This window comes from Homo sapiens, chromosome 15, assembly GCF_000001405.40.
Source record: "Homo sapiens chromosome 15, GRCh38.p14 Primary Assembly".
Lineage (NCBI taxonomy): Eukaryota > Metazoa > Chordata > Mammalia > Primates > Hominidae > Homo > Homo sapiens.
Window position 1 is genome coordinate 74210022 of NC_000015.10, and position 16548 is coordinate 74226569.

The 16548-nt window shown below is 52.4% G+C and overlaps 2 protein-coding genes across 14 annotated transcripts in view, besides 4 other annotated features; one reads left to right on the top strand and one right to left on the bottom strand.

The window, feature by feature from the left end:
- STRA6 (signaling receptor and transporter of retinol STRA6) overlaps positions 1-2238 on the bottom strand; it is a 32794-nt gene extending 30556 nt beyond the window's left edge. For both annotated transcript variants that reach the window (NM_001437994.1, XM_017022479.2), the window contains exon 1: positions 2106-2238. The gene's annotated coding sequence lies outside the window, so the exon portion shown is untranslated. The remainder of the gene's footprint in view (positions 1-2105) is intronic.
- CCDC33 (coiled-coil domain containing 33) overlaps positions 1-16548 on the top strand; it is a 133474-nt gene that overhangs the window by 7023 nt on the left and 109903 nt on the right. For 11 of the 12 annotated variants that reach the window (XR_001751401.2, XM_011522085.4, XM_017022624.2 and 8 more), the window contains exons 1-2: positions 7180-7560; positions 8476-8840. Coding sequence is in view for 11 of the 12 variants with exons in the window: in XM_011522085.4 (XP_011520387.1) it covers positions 7251-7560; positions 8476-8840 (675 nt within the window). In the remaining variant the exon portion in view is untranslated. Of the gene's footprint in view, positions 1-2124; positions 2257-7179; positions 7561-8475; positions 8841-16548 lie in introns of those variants that run through there. The other variant, XM_047433141.1, reaches the window with a different exon arrangement.
- Positions 2289-2829: an enhancer, noted in NCBI's record as "H3K27ac-H3K4me1 hESC enhancer chr15:74504651-74505191 (GRCh37/hg19 assembly coordinates)". NCBI's record gives its function as "activates a minimal SCP1, AML or CMV promoter by ChIP-STARR-seq in naive H9 embryonic stem cells {active_cell/tissue: H9 hESC(naive)}" and the evidence as "EXISTENCE:reporter gene assay evidence [ECO:0000049][PMID:30033119]".
- Positions 8556-8765: a silencer, noted in NCBI's record as "fragment chr15:74510918-74511127 (GRCh37/hg19 assembly coordinates)". NCBI's record gives its function as "represses an EF-1alpha promoter that drives an FKBP-Casp9 reporter gene in an ReSE screen in HepG2 liver carcinoma cells {active_cell/tissue: HepG2}" and the evidence as "EXISTENCE:reporter gene assay evidence [ECO:0000049][PMID:32094911]".
- Positions 13365-14102: an enhancer, noted in NCBI's record as "NANOG-H3K27ac-H3K4me1 hESC enhancer chr15:74515727-74516464 (GRCh37/hg19 assembly coordinates)". NCBI's record gives its function as "activates a minimal SCP1, AML or CMV promoter by ChIP-STARR-seq in naive H9 embryonic stem cells {active_cell/tissue: H9 hESC(naive)}" and the evidence as "EXISTENCE:reporter gene assay evidence [ECO:0000049][PMID:30033119]".
- Positions 14103-14840: an enhancer, noted in NCBI's record as "H3K27ac-H3K4me1 hESC enhancer chr15:74516465-74517202 (GRCh37/hg19 assembly coordinates)". NCBI's record gives its function as "activates a minimal SCP1, AML or CMV promoter by ChIP-STARR-seq in naive H9 embryonic stem cells {active_cell/tissue: H9 hESC(naive)}" and the evidence as "EXISTENCE:reporter gene assay evidence [ECO:0000049][PMID:30033119]".

Here is a 16548-nt window from a genome sequence, read left to right on the forward strand (position 1 = left end):
CCAGGCCTGCCCAGGAGAGGCAGGGAGAGAGGGAGAGAGAGAGCAGCTCAAGCCGAGAAAGGGAAGCAGCCAGCCAGCTTGGATCTGATCACCATCTTGTCCATGGAGAAGAGGATTTTTAGTTCCAAAGGGTTAAACCCACATAAAGAGAAAATTAACCTTTGGCACACTTTTAGGAATCCATTCCCAAGGAATGCCTGCATGCATATATATGGAGACAAAATTCCCAAGGCCGTTTGTAATGGCAAAAATAATTGGCAACAACCCCAATATCCATCCATCAATGCTGATAAGTTGACACACTGAAGTACTATTTTGCTGATAAAAAGAATGAGGTAATTCTCTGGACTGACGTGGCAGAACCTCCAAGACATATTGCCAAGTAACAGTAACCAAGAAAGCAAGTTGCTGAACAATACATAAATCGTGATCTCATTTTATGCTTCTTTAACTAGGTAGACATATGTGTATGTATGTGTGTACACATAAAAAGTGAATCTGGCAGACACACAGCAAACTGTTCACAGTGGTCACACTTGGGGGAGGGGTGAATTTTGGAGAATGAAGCAGGATTTTTCACTTGTTTGAAATGCATATTTTAAAACTCATACTGCATGTGTAATTCTTTTTAAATAAGCCTGCTGTGAGTAAGGAGCTGTGAAGGCATCACTGAGCTGTGTGAATTTGATTCCGTCCCCAGCCCAATATTGCACACTTCCCAGTCTCCCTTGAAGCTAGATGTAGCCCTTAGACTAGGTATTGGCCAGTGACTTGGAAAAAGAGTGTTGAGCACAATTCCCAGGTTGTGTTCTCAAAAAGAGAGGTGTTCTCTTTACCCCCTCCTCCTTCTAGCTGGGTGAAAAACAGTTGTGATAGCTGGATCTCAGGCAGCCATCTTGGACTATGAGATAGAAGTCATGAGTTAAGTAGAATAGAGCAGTAAGTTACTGGCAAAGACAGAGCCTTAGCTAAGGCCAGATTATAAGGCTGAAGGAGACTCCTGCTGTACCCCAGACTCCAACACATCCAAAAGAAACTTAAGCCCAGAGAGGCCACATGATGTGCCAGGGTCAGTGACTGACCTAGGGGAAGTTTTGCCAGAGATTCCCCCCCACCACTACGCACGCACACGCACACACACACACACACACACACACACACCTCACTGCTTTTTCCCCCAAGAACATTCCTTCCTAGAGCTTGGACTCCGTTTCATTCTATGGCTGGGAGACTCCTTCTGGGATTGAGGGAAGGCCCCAAGTGTTGATTAAGCCAAATTGCAGGATTGGGACACACCTCTCAATACTCTGTCTGATAACACAGCAGAACCCCTGCCTACTGCTGGGTCTCTCTGTCAATATCTGCCCCTGGCTTTTTTTTTTTTTTTTTTTTTTTTGAGATGGAGTTTGGCTCTTGTTGCCCAGGCTGGAGTGCAATGGTGCTATCTCAGTCCACTGCAACCTCCGCCTCCTGGGTTCAAGCGATTCTCCTGCTTCGGCCTCCCGAGTAGCTCGGATTACAGGCATGCACCACCATGCCCGGCTGAATTTTTTTGTATTTTTAGTAGAGATGAGGTTTCTCCATGTTGGTCAGGCTGGTCTCGAACTCCTAACCTCAGGTGATCTGCCCACCTCGGCCTCCCAAAGTGCTGGGATTACAGGTATGAGTCACGGTGCTCAGCCCCTTTCTCTCTTTCTATCTGGTTGTCCTCCTGTCTGCCTTTCTGCCCCTGTCCATCAGTCTCTCTGCCTGTCCCTGGTATGCCACTCTCTGTTTCACCCTCTCTGTGTCTGACTCAGTCTCCCTCCTTTCCTTCTGTCTCTCTCTACTTTCCTTCTGTCTCTCCTCCTCCTTCTTTCTCTGTCTAACTCTGTGTTTTCTCTCTATCACTCTCTCTGTTGTTTCCTTTTTGTTTCTCTCTCCTGCTCTTTGTTTTGCTCCCCACTCCCCAGTCTGGCTGTGAAGTTTGTGTCTCTCCTCCTAAAGGTTTTAGGCAGTACCTTTTCTAAGCTAGCCTGGGCCATGCCTAAATCTCTGATCTTGGGCCTTGTCTTGTGCTGACTCAGTGCTGCCCCTGCCATCTCCTGCCCTCTTTCCCGCCTTACCTGCTCTGTCTGTCCCCAGTGCTGCAGGATGAGTGGCGCTGGTCTCGGGATCCGCAGAGTCTACAGGGCCCTGGGCTTGGACACCGTCTCAGGGGTTTGTGCCTTCAGAGCCTGGTGGAGCAGCCAAGCAACTGGGCACATGAAGACAAAGGTCAGTGCTGCTGAGCAGTAAGGCTACCTTCTCCCTCCCGCCAGACCAAGAACTTTAGCCCCTCCAAGGCAAGTCTGGCAGAGGGGGGCTGTCAGGGCAAGCCCAGGGATCACTGATGCTGCCCTAGCTCCCCTCCTCCAGCTCCTGCTCAGCTGGAGGTCAGAGCAAAAGGACTTGAGGGATGACCCAAGACTTTCCTGACAGTGCTTGGTGCTGGAGCCCGGAGCAGGAGGCCAAGAGAGGAACGGAGTGCCATCCAATGGCACTGGCGTGGCAGACAGGATCACAGTTACTACTCATGGCAGAAAGCTTCAAAGTAGCCAGGCCCCTCGGTGGAAGGAAGAGACGAGGCTTCTAATTTTGTTTTTACTACTTACTAGCTGAGTGACCACAAATGCAGCCTGTTGGAACTCAGAAAATAACACCCGAAAATGAAAGCCTCAGAAGCAAAAGTGACCTTCTAGCCTTCTCCTGCCCTCCTGTGTCTCAGGCCCGTTTTCCCCCAAGGACGGACATAGAAAAGAGAATCCCTCCTCCTCAAGGCGGGTTATAGAAATCAAAACCCCTTTTCCCCAAAGCTAGCCATAAAGCCTACAAACTCTAACTTTCCCCAATTTCTGTGTAAAAACTGGCCACAAATAAATTCTCAGGCCTAGGTGGGGCATGGTGGCTCACACCTATAATCCCAGCACTTTGGGAGGCCGAGTCGGGTGTATCATTTGAGGTCAGGAGTTCAAGACCAGCATGGCCGACATTATGAAACCCCGTCTCTATTAAAAATACAAAAATTAGCCAGGCAGTAGTGGTGTACACTTGTAATCCCAGCTACTTGGGAGGCTGAGGCAGGAGAATCGCTTCAACCTGGAAGACGGAGGTTACAGTGAGCCGAGAACGCTCCACTGCACACCAATCTGGGCGAGAGAGCGAGACTCTGTCTCTAAAAAAAAAAAAAACAAAAAAAATTCTCAGGCCTACCTTGTTTGATTGTAGGTCAGACCTCCATTCCAGAAAGTCCTGCCCCATACCCACACCCAGAAGGAAGAAATGCATGCTCAGAGGGGCCAGGAAGAAATCCAGAGAGACAGGCCTTGCTGGGTGTCCCCACTCCGTCTATTCACATTCGATCATTGCCCTTTTTGTCCAGTCATATCGCTACACAGCTGTCCATGTGTCCTTGAAACTCAGCATAAAAGTGGACAATTTTCCCTGTATCTCTGGGTCCTTGTTCTGAAGGCTCCTGTGTACATGTTAATAAGGTGTACACCTTTCCTCCTATTCACCTGCCTCTTGTTGGTGATTTCTAGCCAACCTTCAGAGGGTGGTGGGGAAGCTTTCCCCTGGCCGCTGCAAGCCCCTCCGTGTTCGGGGTTCCAGTTTTCCCATTTGTGTGACGGAGGGAGACTGGCTGCCATTCTTCCCTTTGCTGGTCTGAGCCTGTGATCCTGTTGCCCTGTGGGCCTCTGGCACTGTGGACTTGAAGGGAAGGGAGTGGGAAGTGGGCCTGGGGTGACGTACCCCTGCGGGGGAAGGGAGGCTGCTGCAGGGGGCTGGGTGCTGAAGGCCCAGGGTGGAGCAGTGATGATCGCATGATCACCTAATCGCAGTGGCCCAGGAGTCAGGAGATCAGAGGTCTATCCCTTCACTAGCCACGTGCTCTCTCTGCACCTCAGATTCTGCGCCTGTGGAAGGAGATGAGTCCCAGCCCCAGATCCTTGGCTCCAGAGAACTCATGGGCTCCCTGCTTGCCAGGATTCAGCTCTGCCTAGAGGAAGGAAGTAAAGTGGGGGTGGGGAGGGAGTTGGAGGTGGATCGTTGAAGATAGGGGTCTCAGAGCCCTCAGGGGCCATGGGGGTGTGTCAGCGGGGGAGGTTGAAAGGAGCCATTGTGGGAAGCAGGAAGGGGGCCCTCTGGGGTGGGCTAATTATAGGCCCTGGCTCTTCCAAACAAAGCCAGCGGCCTCTGAGTGGCCATTCTTTGGGGGAAGAAAGAAGACTGGAGGGCCCCATTAAGGTCTTTCACGCTGGGACTTTGGAAGGTGGCTTGGAAGTTCGCCTTCCAAGGCTGCTCCCTTCCTGCCTCCCTCCACTCACCCCAGCCCACATCCCTTACCCCTTCTTGAACCCCTCTGGGGAACCAGGCCCTGCCCCCCAGAGACAGTCTCACCTGGAGTTTAAACTTTTTGAAAACCGTGGGAGGCTGAATCAGGGAGGCAGCCAGGAGTAGAGAGAACCCTGAGAAGGGAGGAGGGATCTGGTGCTGCCCTGCGGCCCTGGGCTCAGTTTCTTCATCTGTAAAATGGGCTTGCCGTCTAGCCCTGACTTGCTGAAATTCACTGATGTTTCCAGATTTCTACATAGAACTGAGGCCAGACTCAGAGATGCCTGAGCATCAGGGTTTCTGCCTCCTGTCCTATTTACTACCCTCCAACACTGGTACCCTCCCTCCTCACCACCTGCTTGCCCACTGAGGCACCAGGTTGCATCTCTGAGTCTAAATTTGACTCAAAAGCCCAAATGGTCTTTGCTTGTCACAGATGGACTCCAAATGAAATAGCCAAAAGAACTCTTATTCCTTTCTGCATAAGTAGAAGCTGGGTTGAATTTCTTCATCACTTCATTCATTCATGCATTCATTCATTTATTCATCCATAATGCTTTAACCATTTCCCAGGCACCTATCCCTCGCCCAGCGTGGGCACACAAACATGATTCCTGAAACAACATTCAGGGCAATGAATGATGACTTGTGTGGGCAAGTCATCATTTGAGACAGGAGAGGAAAATGCAAAATGGGATGGAGGAGGGAGTCACTAACCCGGGTCACAGGGGAGGAGGCTTTTAGCCAGTCTGCAGGATGAGTAGGGCTGCTGTCGGGTGGAGCTGGGCAGTTTGGGTAGTGGAAATCACACCAGCAAGGGTAGGGAGGTGAGAAAGGGCAGACCTGGCCTGGAGCAAAAGGGAACCTTCCCCAGGACATTATGTTAAGTGAAATAAGCCATTTGTGAAAAGACAAATACTGTAAGATTCCAATTCTATGAAGCACTGAGTATTCAAATTCACAGAGACGGAAAGTAGAATGGTGGTTGCCAGGAGCTGGGGGGAGGTGGAAGAAGTTGTTGTTTAATGGGTGTAGAGTTTCAGTTTTGCAAGATGAAAAGAGTTCTGGAGATTGGTTGCACAACAATGTAAATTTATTTAACACCACTGAGCTGCACATTTCAAAGTGGTTAGGATGGTACATTTTATGTTATGTGTATTTGACTACAATTTTTTTTTAAAAAGTAACTGTACACACACACCAAAAAAAAGTACCTTCCCCAGAGATAATGGGAGAGGGGAGGCAAGAAATAGGAGTGGGTGTGGACATTAGGTGGTGGAGGATCCTAAAACCTTGCTAAGGCCAACAGAGCCACCTCAGATTCTTTGTAGAAAGTTGGAGGGAGGTTAGCCGGGCGTGGTGGCGCATGCCTGTAATCCCGGCTACTGAAGAAGGCTGAGGCAGGAGAATCGCTTGAACCCGGGAGGCAGAGGTTGCAGTGAGCCGAGATCTCGCCACTGCACTCCAGCCTGGGCAACAAGAGCAAAACTCGATCTCACCAAAAAAAAAAAAAAAGAAAGAAAGAAAGAAAGAAAGAAAAAAAGTTGGAGGGAGGGAAAGAAGGGAGAGCAAGGGGTATGTGGGAAGTATTGAAGGGACTCGGGATAAACCGGCGTGATTCTGAGCGTGGGCCCTGCTTGCAGGGGATGGGGCCAGGATACGTGCACAAAGGTTGGCCCTAGGGCAGAAGCAACTGGACTCCTATCTTGTAACATTTCTGCTGGTCACTTCAAATATGCAAGGGAAGAGAGCTGCTATTACTGAGTCACTAAGCTCCAAGACCTCAGACCTGGCAGAGGTACACCACCGCCTCCAGACCCACACTGGTTGGCCATGCCCAGCCGCTGAGGCAAAGGTTTCCAGGTAGTCTCTGCCACCTACCCTCTCCCCAAAATGGCCATACTGTGGTCTTTCCCGACATGAATTATAGAATTTCAGACTATCAGAGCTGAGAGATGACTTATCTGCCCCACTACCCCAATCATACAGATGGGCACACTGACACCCAAACAGAAGGGATCTCCTGAATTTCACTTACAAGTCAGGCGACTAGAACTCTTTGTCTCAGCTTCTCCCTGGGGGATCTGAAGAAACTGAATTTTAATCATTGCAGAGGAAGCCTGCTGTATACATTGGGACCTGTAGCTGGGCTGGCCAATACCACTTTTTTTTTTTTTCCCGAGATGGAGTTTCGCTCTTGTTGCCAGGCTGGAGTGCAATGGTGCAATCTTGGCTCACTGCACTCCAGCCTGGGTGACAAAGTAAGACTCCATCTCAAAAAAAAAAAAGGTAAACTAAGGGCTTGCTCCCTGAGAATAGACACTGTCTCCCTTCCCTTGAGACTCCCCTACACCCCAAGTCAAGAACTCTTGAGAAAGAATAGGCATATGAACAGGCTCTCCCAGAATGGGAAGTTCTGGATACCACGTACCCATGAGCTCCCCACACCAGAATCTTCTTCCTTGTCCCTGCTCTAATTTTTTCCATAGAACTTAACATCTTCTAGCATACATTATAATTTACTTATTTTCCATATTTAGTGTTTATTTTTGTCTGTCTCTACCCACCTCCCCCACTAGAAGATAAGCTTCAGAGGGCTGGAGTTATTGTTTGGTTCACTGCTGGATTCCAAATGCCTAAAATAGTATCTGGCACACAGTAGGTGTTCAAGAAATATTTGTTGAAGGAACAAATGCTAAAAGGAAGGGATCGATGGAAAAAAACTTCCCTGGGTCAGGCCCAGCTTCCTGCCTTGTTACCTGGTTTCTCCTCAAACAAACAGAGGTGGGTGGGGAGTGTCCCTGAGCACCCAGCCTGCAGGCTTTCAGACTGGGTCCAGGCTGGGCTGTGGGTGAGAGGGTGCAGTGCTCAGCCTGGCAGTTGGTCTCTCAGTGGCCATGGCATTCAGGGGGCCTGAACCCTGGGTCTCTGCATCCCTGCTGAGACAGAGGCTGAAGGCCGAGGAGAAGACGCTGGATCTGGAGTTCGAAGTTTTGAGCGTGGGGTTTAATGAGGCGGGTAGATACGCCCTGAGACTGTCAGCAGAGAACCCCCTGCAGGTGGGCTCTGGGGCTGGGGTGCAGTTGCAAGTGAATGATGGGGACCCCTTCCCTGCCTGCTCTGCTATCACTGATGTCATTGAGCAGCAGGAGCCTGGCCAGAGCCTCACCCTCACCAGGAGCAAGTTTATCTTTACTTTGCCCAAAGGTATGAAGTAGGGGTGGGGTTTGGGGGAGAGAAAGACCCTGGAACTCCTGCCTGAGTCCCTTTCTGGGACCCCAGAGAGCCTCAGGAGAACTGGGAGGGTGGGGTCAGAGCTCCAGACTGCATCCCAAAGCTCTGCCGGTGTGACCTTGGGCAAATTCTGGGCCTTTGTAACCCGTGCCTCCTTCAGTGTGGCATGGGGACACTGGTGCCTGTCACGCAAGGTCAGGTGAGAAGGAAATAGAAGGGCAGATGAGAGATGGCTTTGTAAATGTAAAAGTGCTGAGCACACAGTGGGTTTGGGGGCCAGTCCTGAGCAGTGGACATTACACCGAGTAATATTATACTCAGCCCTGTGTGCCTGTCCCTGAGCCCCACTAGATTGTGGGTATGTTGGGGTGGACAGAAATGAGGGGACCTGGGCCCTGCCTTCTGGAACTTCCAGAGCAGGTGGAGAGGAAGGAACTCCAAGCAGAGAAAAGTAAAGTGAGCTGGAATGAGAAGGAAATCCATGCCTAGACTAAGGCCACCCTGGCAGGCTGCCTGGAGGAGGAGGGATGTGAGGGAACAGGGAAACCAAGTCCCAGACTTTAAATGGCTATAAATCAGGGGCAGGCTGAACTCTTCCCCAGTCTAGGAGTCTATGGTGGTGGCAGGACCTAGGATCATCCCACAGGCTAAGCCCTCCCTTCCTCACCCCTGCCCGGTGGGCTTGGATTGGGCATCAGCAAAGGGAGGGAGCCATGGGTGGGGCCTAGGAGGGAGTCGCCTACCAGGGAAATCTTAGCCAAGACTGCTTGGCTTTGACTCAAAGTCTGGGCAGCCCAGGTTTCCCCAGGGCCCTGCCTGTCCTCCTAGTCACCTGGCAGATGCAGAGAAACCTGAGACCATCTCTGAGCCCTGTGTTCCCTCATCCAGGTTTCTGCAAGAATGACGGGCAGCATGATGCTCAGCTGCATGTGGAGGCACTGAGGCTGGACGAACCCTTGGGACGGGCAGCCCAGCGGGTGGGTGAGGCCATCTTCCCCATCTACCCGAGGCCAGACCAACCCCGCATGAACCCAAAGGCTCAGGATCACGAGGACCTGTACCGCTACTGTGGCAACCTGGCTCTGCTCCGGGCTAGCACGGACCCCACAGCCCGACACTGTGGGAGCCTGGCCTACAGTGTGGCCTTCCACGTCCACCGGGGCCCTCAGCCTCCAGTCTCAGACAGCCCTCCCAGGGCTGGCCAGCCAGAACTGATGTCACCATGCCCAGAGCCCCAGCTCCCCATACTGCAGGTGGGTGCTTCCCTGGTCCCAGTTCAGGTTCTGGGCTCACCGGGTACAAGACCCAGCCTCCGTGATAAGCCAGGCTACCCCCTGTCCTGAGCTGAGCTGAGCAGAGCAGCAGAGCTCCCAAGGCTGCCATGTTCAGTCTGAGGAACGTGCAGTCTGAGGATGGACATGGGAGTCCCAGTTACAATGGGCAGACAGAAAATGGGGCAAAGGCCACACAGAGCAGGGAGCCAACCAAGTGGGGTTTCTTTTGCCCTGTGGGTTAGTGTCCCCTGAGACCCTTCAGTTCCCAACCTCGTTCTCACCAGTTTTTGTGGGAGGCCCCGAGTGACCAGGGGACAGAAGCCTCCTCTGTGTGCCCACCCTCAAGCCCATCTAGCATCCACCCTGACCAGGAGGGGCTCAACCCCAACCCAGGACCCAGGTGAGAGAGTCTAGTCCTTATCCGAAATATAGGAGGCTTCTCCCCTATGACCATGTTCTGTGACCAGACAGCATGTCTAGTAGGCCTCACGCCAGCACAGATAGAAGCTGGTAGAGCAAGTAGTAGCCCATTTGACAGGTGGAGAAACAGGCCCAAGGTATGCTTGATGCCATTTAATGTCAACAACATTTCCTGGAAACCTTAGTGTATAATAGTGCACAGAATCCAAAAGTGACAGCACCTAAGCTCAGGGTGTCGCCTGGCTTGAAGACAGTTGGGTATAGTGAGGGTATCATCTATGGTCCTGTAGGGCATGCCTGGCAGGAGAGTTCTGGTGAGGGATTGTACATGTCAGATTTTGGTGACTAGGAACGGCTTCTTGGAAGAGGGTTTATTTGAGGTGAATCTTCCCATTCATTCCTTCATTTACCCTTTTATCCATTCATTCATCCATCAGACATTTGTTAAATGCTAACTCCGCCGACTGCCTGCCAAGTGGGTAAGACTTAGGGATAGCAATACTGGGCTTTGGGGAGGGTATTCCAGGAGGAGGGACCATGATACACTGGCTAAGAGGAAGGGAGAGGTTCCGCTGGCAGTAGAAGATGAGCAGAGATTGGAGCCAGAAGTTGACAACCAAAGGCTCTTGGCCCATCTGCGGTGCTTCTCTCCCTGCAGTGCATTGGTCTGGTGCTGAAGTGGAGCCCAGGTGGTGGACTGTCAGGCTGGGAGAGGGCCTGGGGATGGGAGAAAGTGGAGGGAGTCGAGGGCACCAGGAAGAGCAGAGGTGGATGTTCATTTCAGGAGGCAGTGGGGAACACCAGAGGGGTTTGTGCAGGGTTTGTGCGGGAGAAAGACCAGATCTGAGCTGTGGTTTAGGCCAAGTGATAGGGCAGCATGTACCAGGATAACTACGAGGATGACCAAGGACGCAGGGACCCAGGGACCAGCTTCTCTTGCCCAGTCACTCAGCCTGTTGACATGGCCCACTATGGCCTCTGTCCATTAATTCATTCATCAGTCAATCAACACATACTTTTGACCACTTCCTGCACACCCAGCTCTGTGCTGAGTGCTGATCTTGTAAAATAAAATGCATGTCACCTGCATTCCTAGGTGACATTCTGTTCCCTTAGACTGCAAGCTCCCTGACTTCAGGGCCTGGTGTCCTACAGTTTGTCACAGGACTAGGCACACAAAAGCTGTGAACTCGGAAGAAGCTGTCCCCTGCTCTCCAGGTCCCAGAGTGCCCTGGCCACCTGAGCCACAGGCCACGTGGACGATGCTCTTCAGGCTGCAGTTCTGAATGTGTGCGAGGGAGGGGAAAGGGGACTGGCGAGATGGCTGAGTCGAACTCGGCAGCTCTAATTTCTGTTATTTAAAGCCATCATCTCCCCACCATGCTCCCTCTTAAAGTGTCAGATGTCTGCTTCTGCCAAGACAAGAAAATGGCTTTCAAGGGAGAGGAAAATCGCTTCCCTGGGGGAGAGTGGGGGGAGAGTCAGCAATCATAACCCTGACGACAGGGCCAGGAAGCACAAGGGAGCAGACAATGAAGACAGGTCCTTCAGAGAATACAGGGGCTGTTTCAGCTCCAGATAACTTGCTCTAGCAGTTCAGGCTAAGGAAGGCAGGCACCTTTCTGGTGCTGCTACTTGGAGGCTCAAAGGCACAGCTGGAAGGACAGCAGCAAGAGTGGGCTGTCAGCGAGCAATATTCAGATCAAAGCTACGGATGGATTTCTGGCTCCAGATGCAAATGTCTAGGCTCAAAGTCACCTCTTCCAGGAAGCCTTCCCAGCATTGATTTTATCCCTCCCAAGTTATCCTCAGTCCTGACTGTGATCAGGCATTTCAACAATTGAATCTATTCAATTCAGAACTTGGTTGTAGGCTCACAAGTTGTTCTCCAGTTTGTGTAGTGTGTGGCACTGGTTTTTTTTTTTTTTTTTTTTTTTTTTTCACCAGAACTGATGATGGTCATGGGGGGCAGTGGAGCAGGGGCAGGAGAGCAGGATGAGCAGGAATGCAATAATCAAGATGATCCAGAATGAGAAGGAAGCGGAAGACAAGGCTCAGTGTGAGACCAGGGTCAGAGCTCAGCAAACTTCCACGACTGGCTTTGAATCAGAATCATTTTGCTTCTCAGCCACGGCCCCTGGGTTACACAGCCTTAAATGGCCCTGCCAATGCTGGTCACAGCATTCCCTAGTCCTGGAGACTCGGGAACTAAAACAATCAATTCCCCTGAGCAATAAAATTATGGACAGTGAACACCTTCGCTTCTCCAGTCCCCAAGCTTCCTGCTCTGTGTGGGTGGGGAGGTGATGGTGGGAGGGACTGTCCTCCATGAATATTTCCAGCATGCACAATCACAGCTCCAAGATAGAGGTCACTCCCTGAGCCCTTGACCCAAGGATGGGGATGCTGGGAGCATGCAGGCAGGGGCTGCAGAGGGAATTTACCCACCTAGAGGGCTAACTATTTCCAGGTTCCTGCCAGCCAGAGCAGCAGCCCTTCCCAGAGGCTCAGGGTGCTTCCTTTCTGGGTAGAGCTCCACTACACTCGTCCCACCCCCTCAGCGCTGCCTCCTGTCACCTCTTGGCAGGTTTGAGACCATAGAGCTATGCCTCTCCAGCTCCCAGAGCCTCTCCTTCCCCGGGGTAAGGGGGAGTTCATCAGACCAGATGAGGGTGGCCTGTTCGGTGCTGGACAGAGCACCCCGGGGTGAGGAAAGCAGCAAGGTGCAACCCAAAGCCGGCAAAAAGGCCATCAGATGTGACTCGGCTGGACATTTTTAGGGGAAAATGATGACTCTTGGAGGGCTGGAAAGGGCGGGGGAGACCACAACAGCTGTGGGCCTGGGGCTGGGCTCTCAGAGGCCACAACGCTTCTGGTACCTCACTGCCCTCTCCAAGAGATCCCTGAAAGTCTACTGACAGTCTCCCACTGGCATAGCTGTTCAAGAGGGAAACTGGAAATTCCCAGAGATATAATTTCTGGAAACGCAAATTTTAAGGTTCCTTGTTTGTAGCTCTGGGAGCCATCCTGGGGGCTCCCTCGCTAGAAGGCCGGGAACTCCCTCCCACACAGCTCTGAGCTCTGGAAGGAGAAGGAGGGGTGCACTGCTCCTCCCTCCCCCAGCATTTACCTCTTCCCAACAATCGCAGTTTTGTTTCATAGAAACGATTTCGTTTCCCAGGAGCCTTTTAAATGACACTTTCAAGGTTGTTTTTTTTTTCTTTTTCTTTTCTTTTTTTTTTTAATTCCTTCCGTTTAAAACACCTTTTTTTCCCCCAAGGGGAAAAAAAGGAGAAGAAAAGCTAATAAAGCAATCACCAAACGCCAAGCACCTGGCTCTAAGCCTGTGGATTCTGATTGTGAATTTGGCACCCACTGGCTAGGGGGCTTTCATTAAGGAGAAGTGGAGGGGAAAGGAGAGCGGCCACGGAGCTGTTGTGAACGGCTTTCCTAGCGTCCCCTCGGCCACCCCTACCCCCATCCCACCCCACTCCCCCGACCCCCGCCGCCTGCATGTCTCTGGTCCCAGTTCTAGTTGGAGCTCCAGGCCGGCGCTCTCCCAGCCCCAGGCATCCTCTTGCCTTTAAGGCCCAAGCACTCCGTCCTCACTCCCCCCGCCCCCATGGCCTGCTTTTAAATTCATTATGCCTTTTATTGCTCGCGATTGCATACACTATTTCTATTGCCCTGGAGACTGGAATGGTTCAAGCAGGGAGAGGCACATGATGTGGATTTCATTAACTTTACTCTTTACTGCCCGTTTAATCTCAGGGGTGCAGCACGGGGGTGTGAGTGGGGGCTGGCGTGGCTGGGGAACTGGGCACCTCTTCGTTCATGCCCCATCCCCTCAGTGCTGGACCCTTGGGTTAGCTGGTTTCCCTCATCTTCTGAAGCCTCCCCTTCTGCCACTCCCTCTGCTCTCCTGGTGAGGGGAGTTGTCACTGGCCCATTTCACAGGTGGGGAAAGAGAGGCTCTAGAAAGCAATGCTTGGGCTGCTACCAACAAAGTGGTGGGAGGTGGGGAAGGTGAGAACAGGTTAGATCAGGACTGCCAGCCCCTCCCAGGCTGATGTCCCAGCCCTTGGGTACTGGGGTTCCCCCTCCTCCTCCTTTCCTGCGCTTCACCAAACACAGAGGACTGGAGGCCAGTCAGCTCCTCCTTGCAAATGAGGCAGTTTTATGGGCTTTAGAAAAACACTCCAATTGTTCCCTCAATTACCCTGGAGCGGATTGAATATATTAATCTCTCTCTTAACTCGAGTTAGAGACTCTGCTGCCACCCCTCCCCCAGCCACCAGTGCCCCTCTACAGGCACGTGCCAGAGATTGACTCCCAGCCCCCACCCTCTGGGCCTCAGGCCCGAGCAGGTCAGCCCCGTCCAGGCAGCATGCTTCTGCTGAGGCTGTGCCCACCGCCAGCATACACACACACACACACACACACACACACACACACACACACACGCAAGCATGCACACACACACACACACACACAGCAGACAGCAGACAGCTGCTTTACATTTCTCCATCAATTTACATTGATTTTCTCCTCTGCCACTATTTGGAAGAGCCTTTTCCTTGAGTAAACACGATCATGGGGGCTCCCCCTTGAGTAGGGGGTGGGAAGGGGACTGCAGGCAGCTCCCCCTTCTCCTCCTTTGACAACTGCCTCCAGCTTAAACACACTCTGCCCCAGGCAGCTGAGCCCCGTTAAAAGCTACCTGAGGTTTCCCTTTGTAGCTCGATTTTCTTTTATTTCAGGGGAACAAAGGCACTGTCATGGCGTTCTCAGAGAATGCTGTCACCCACGCAGGGAGGGGTGCAGACCGGCACCATGGCGGAGAGAGAGGTGGGGCAGGCAGGTGCTGGCCCTGGGGAGGCTGGGGTGGGGGGCACTTCCAGCCCCCACTTCACCCCTGCACCTCCCACCCTGTCAGGGAGAGAGGCCAGGGGCTAAATACATCGTGATCACCCTGCAGGCAGCCTGCTGGCTCCCCTTCCTCCTCTGGGTGCGTTGAAACACTCTCCATTCATGGGGTCCCTGAAGGAGAGCCCAGAGGTCCTGGGCAGCATGGACGAGACTCAAAATTGCACAGTTTGAGGGAGTCCCATATTTGTGTCCTTGCCCAAGCCTGTCCCTCCACCCCTGTGCTTCCAGATTTCCATGTCATCTGTATATGCTTTTAGGGTCCTAACAGGGTCTGTGCCTGGAACTCAGCAGAGTAGAGGATGGGAGGGATTTGGGATTCAACCAGCTTAGGGTGAGAGGCAGGTGCATGGAAGTCAGGAGGACCTGGATGCTGATTGGGCTCTGGCATTGATTTAGCAGCGTTTGACCTGGTGCAGGTTATATAACTTCCCTCAGCCTCCACTTCCACGTCTGTAAAATGGGAGAGAGCAATTTCTGTGCCCTTTATTGCTGGCAAGATGAAATGAGCTAGTGTACAGTTAGCCTTGCCCTGCAGTAAGTGGTTAATAAATTCCTGCTGTTCTAGTAATGATTTGGGATGTCTGTATTGGGCAAAGAGGATGTGTCTGGGCCTTGGTTTCTGCACCTAGAAAATAGGATTGCTCCTTCTTGCCCAGCCAGTCTCCCAAGGGAGGGGTGTTAGGAGCTTGTGAGTCTCACTGTGTCTGGGCCCAGATTCCAGGTTGCAGGGTGGAGAAGGCCAGCCCAGCCTGGGTGCTAGTCTGGGAAGAGCCTCCATTAGCAGATTGTTGTAACCGAACACACCAGATGGCCCTGCTGTCCTCCTTCATCTCTGCCTTTCCTCACCCCAGCCAGGGGCTGACGCTGACTCACACCTCCTGGAGGCGTGTGTGTGTGTGTGTGTGTGTGTGTGTGTGTGTGTGTGACAGAGAATGATGTGGGGGGAGATGGAGAGGAAGGGGTTGCCTGCCTCTGATGTCTTCCCAACCAGACCAGCCCCAGCCCCAGTGAGCAGCTGATGGGCTCCAGGGAAGGGAAATGTGGTGGCCTTCTCATCTCCAGAAATTATCTTCACAGTGAAGGAAGCGGGCATAATGTGCAGGAAGGCCCAGTGACGATGGCCTTTTCTTAACCTTACACCCATGGAAAGCGGATGTGCCCCCAACTCCTGAACACCCTCCACCCACCCCCAACTCCATCCACCCTCATGGATGCTGCGACACACAAGGACACATACACATGCACACATACGTGAATATACACAGACCTCCAGCATCCTCAACATGCAGAGACCCCCCTACCCTCCACCTCCATCTCAATGATAGATTCACCCCGAGACACCAATGGACATGCCTGGGAAGCGCACATCCTCCCACACACAGACTCGCACCTCCCTGGATCTCCTGCGTCTCCCTGGTTCCATCTCTGTACAACAACCCCAAGTGCAGCACCAGGTGAGAAAGGGACTTGGGGACATGGCATATGTGATATATGAGGTGAGATTAAAACCCTGCGTGAAACCCATCTTTAATATACCTCTGACAGTGGATTAGGGTGGGGAGCAGCAGGGTAGGAAGGCTGACAGCACCCAGTGAGCCCACCCTGGCCCTGGTGAGGGGTAGGGCTGTTAGGCCAGCCCAGCCACCCCCAGCCTGGGTCCTGGGCTAGTTCTGCAGAGTCCTGGGGTCAGGAGCAGCTGAGGCCAGCAGGTACCAGGCCCCGTCCCAGGGAAGATGGAGAATGCGTGTGGGACGTCCTTCCTCCACCTGGACCTGACAGCCTGCCCTGGGCTCCAAAGGTCCAACCTCCCTCAGCCTGAGGTGATGATCATTCATTCATTCATTCATTCACTTTCCCAAGCAGTAAACTGGGTTGCTGTATGTCCAGCCTTCAGGGAGCTGCCAGGCTGGGCAGGGAGAGGAAATAGGAGGAGTTGAGGAACAATCACTTTCCAAGCCGATTGTGGAGGAAGTGGTGGGCATGAGCTGGGTGGTCGTCAAGGACTCAGTCTGTTGGAGGAAGACAGTTCTGCTGGCAGTCAGAAGACTTAGTTTAGAACCTCATTTCCCAGTTGCATATGAGCAGTTATGACTTGGAGCAGGTCCCTTACCTCCCTGGGCCTCAAATTCCTCATCTGTACGATGGACAGAGTCCTATCTACTAACAAGGAAGTTATGAGGCTCAAGTGAGGAAGAGATTGGGAAATTGCGTGGTGCTAACAACCCATCCCACAAATGTCAGGGAGACAGTTGCACCCTGCCTCTATGGTGGGGTGGGATTCCAGCAGAGAGTGGGGAGAATGGTTTTCAAGGGTGAGCCAGGCACGGTGGCTCTCGCC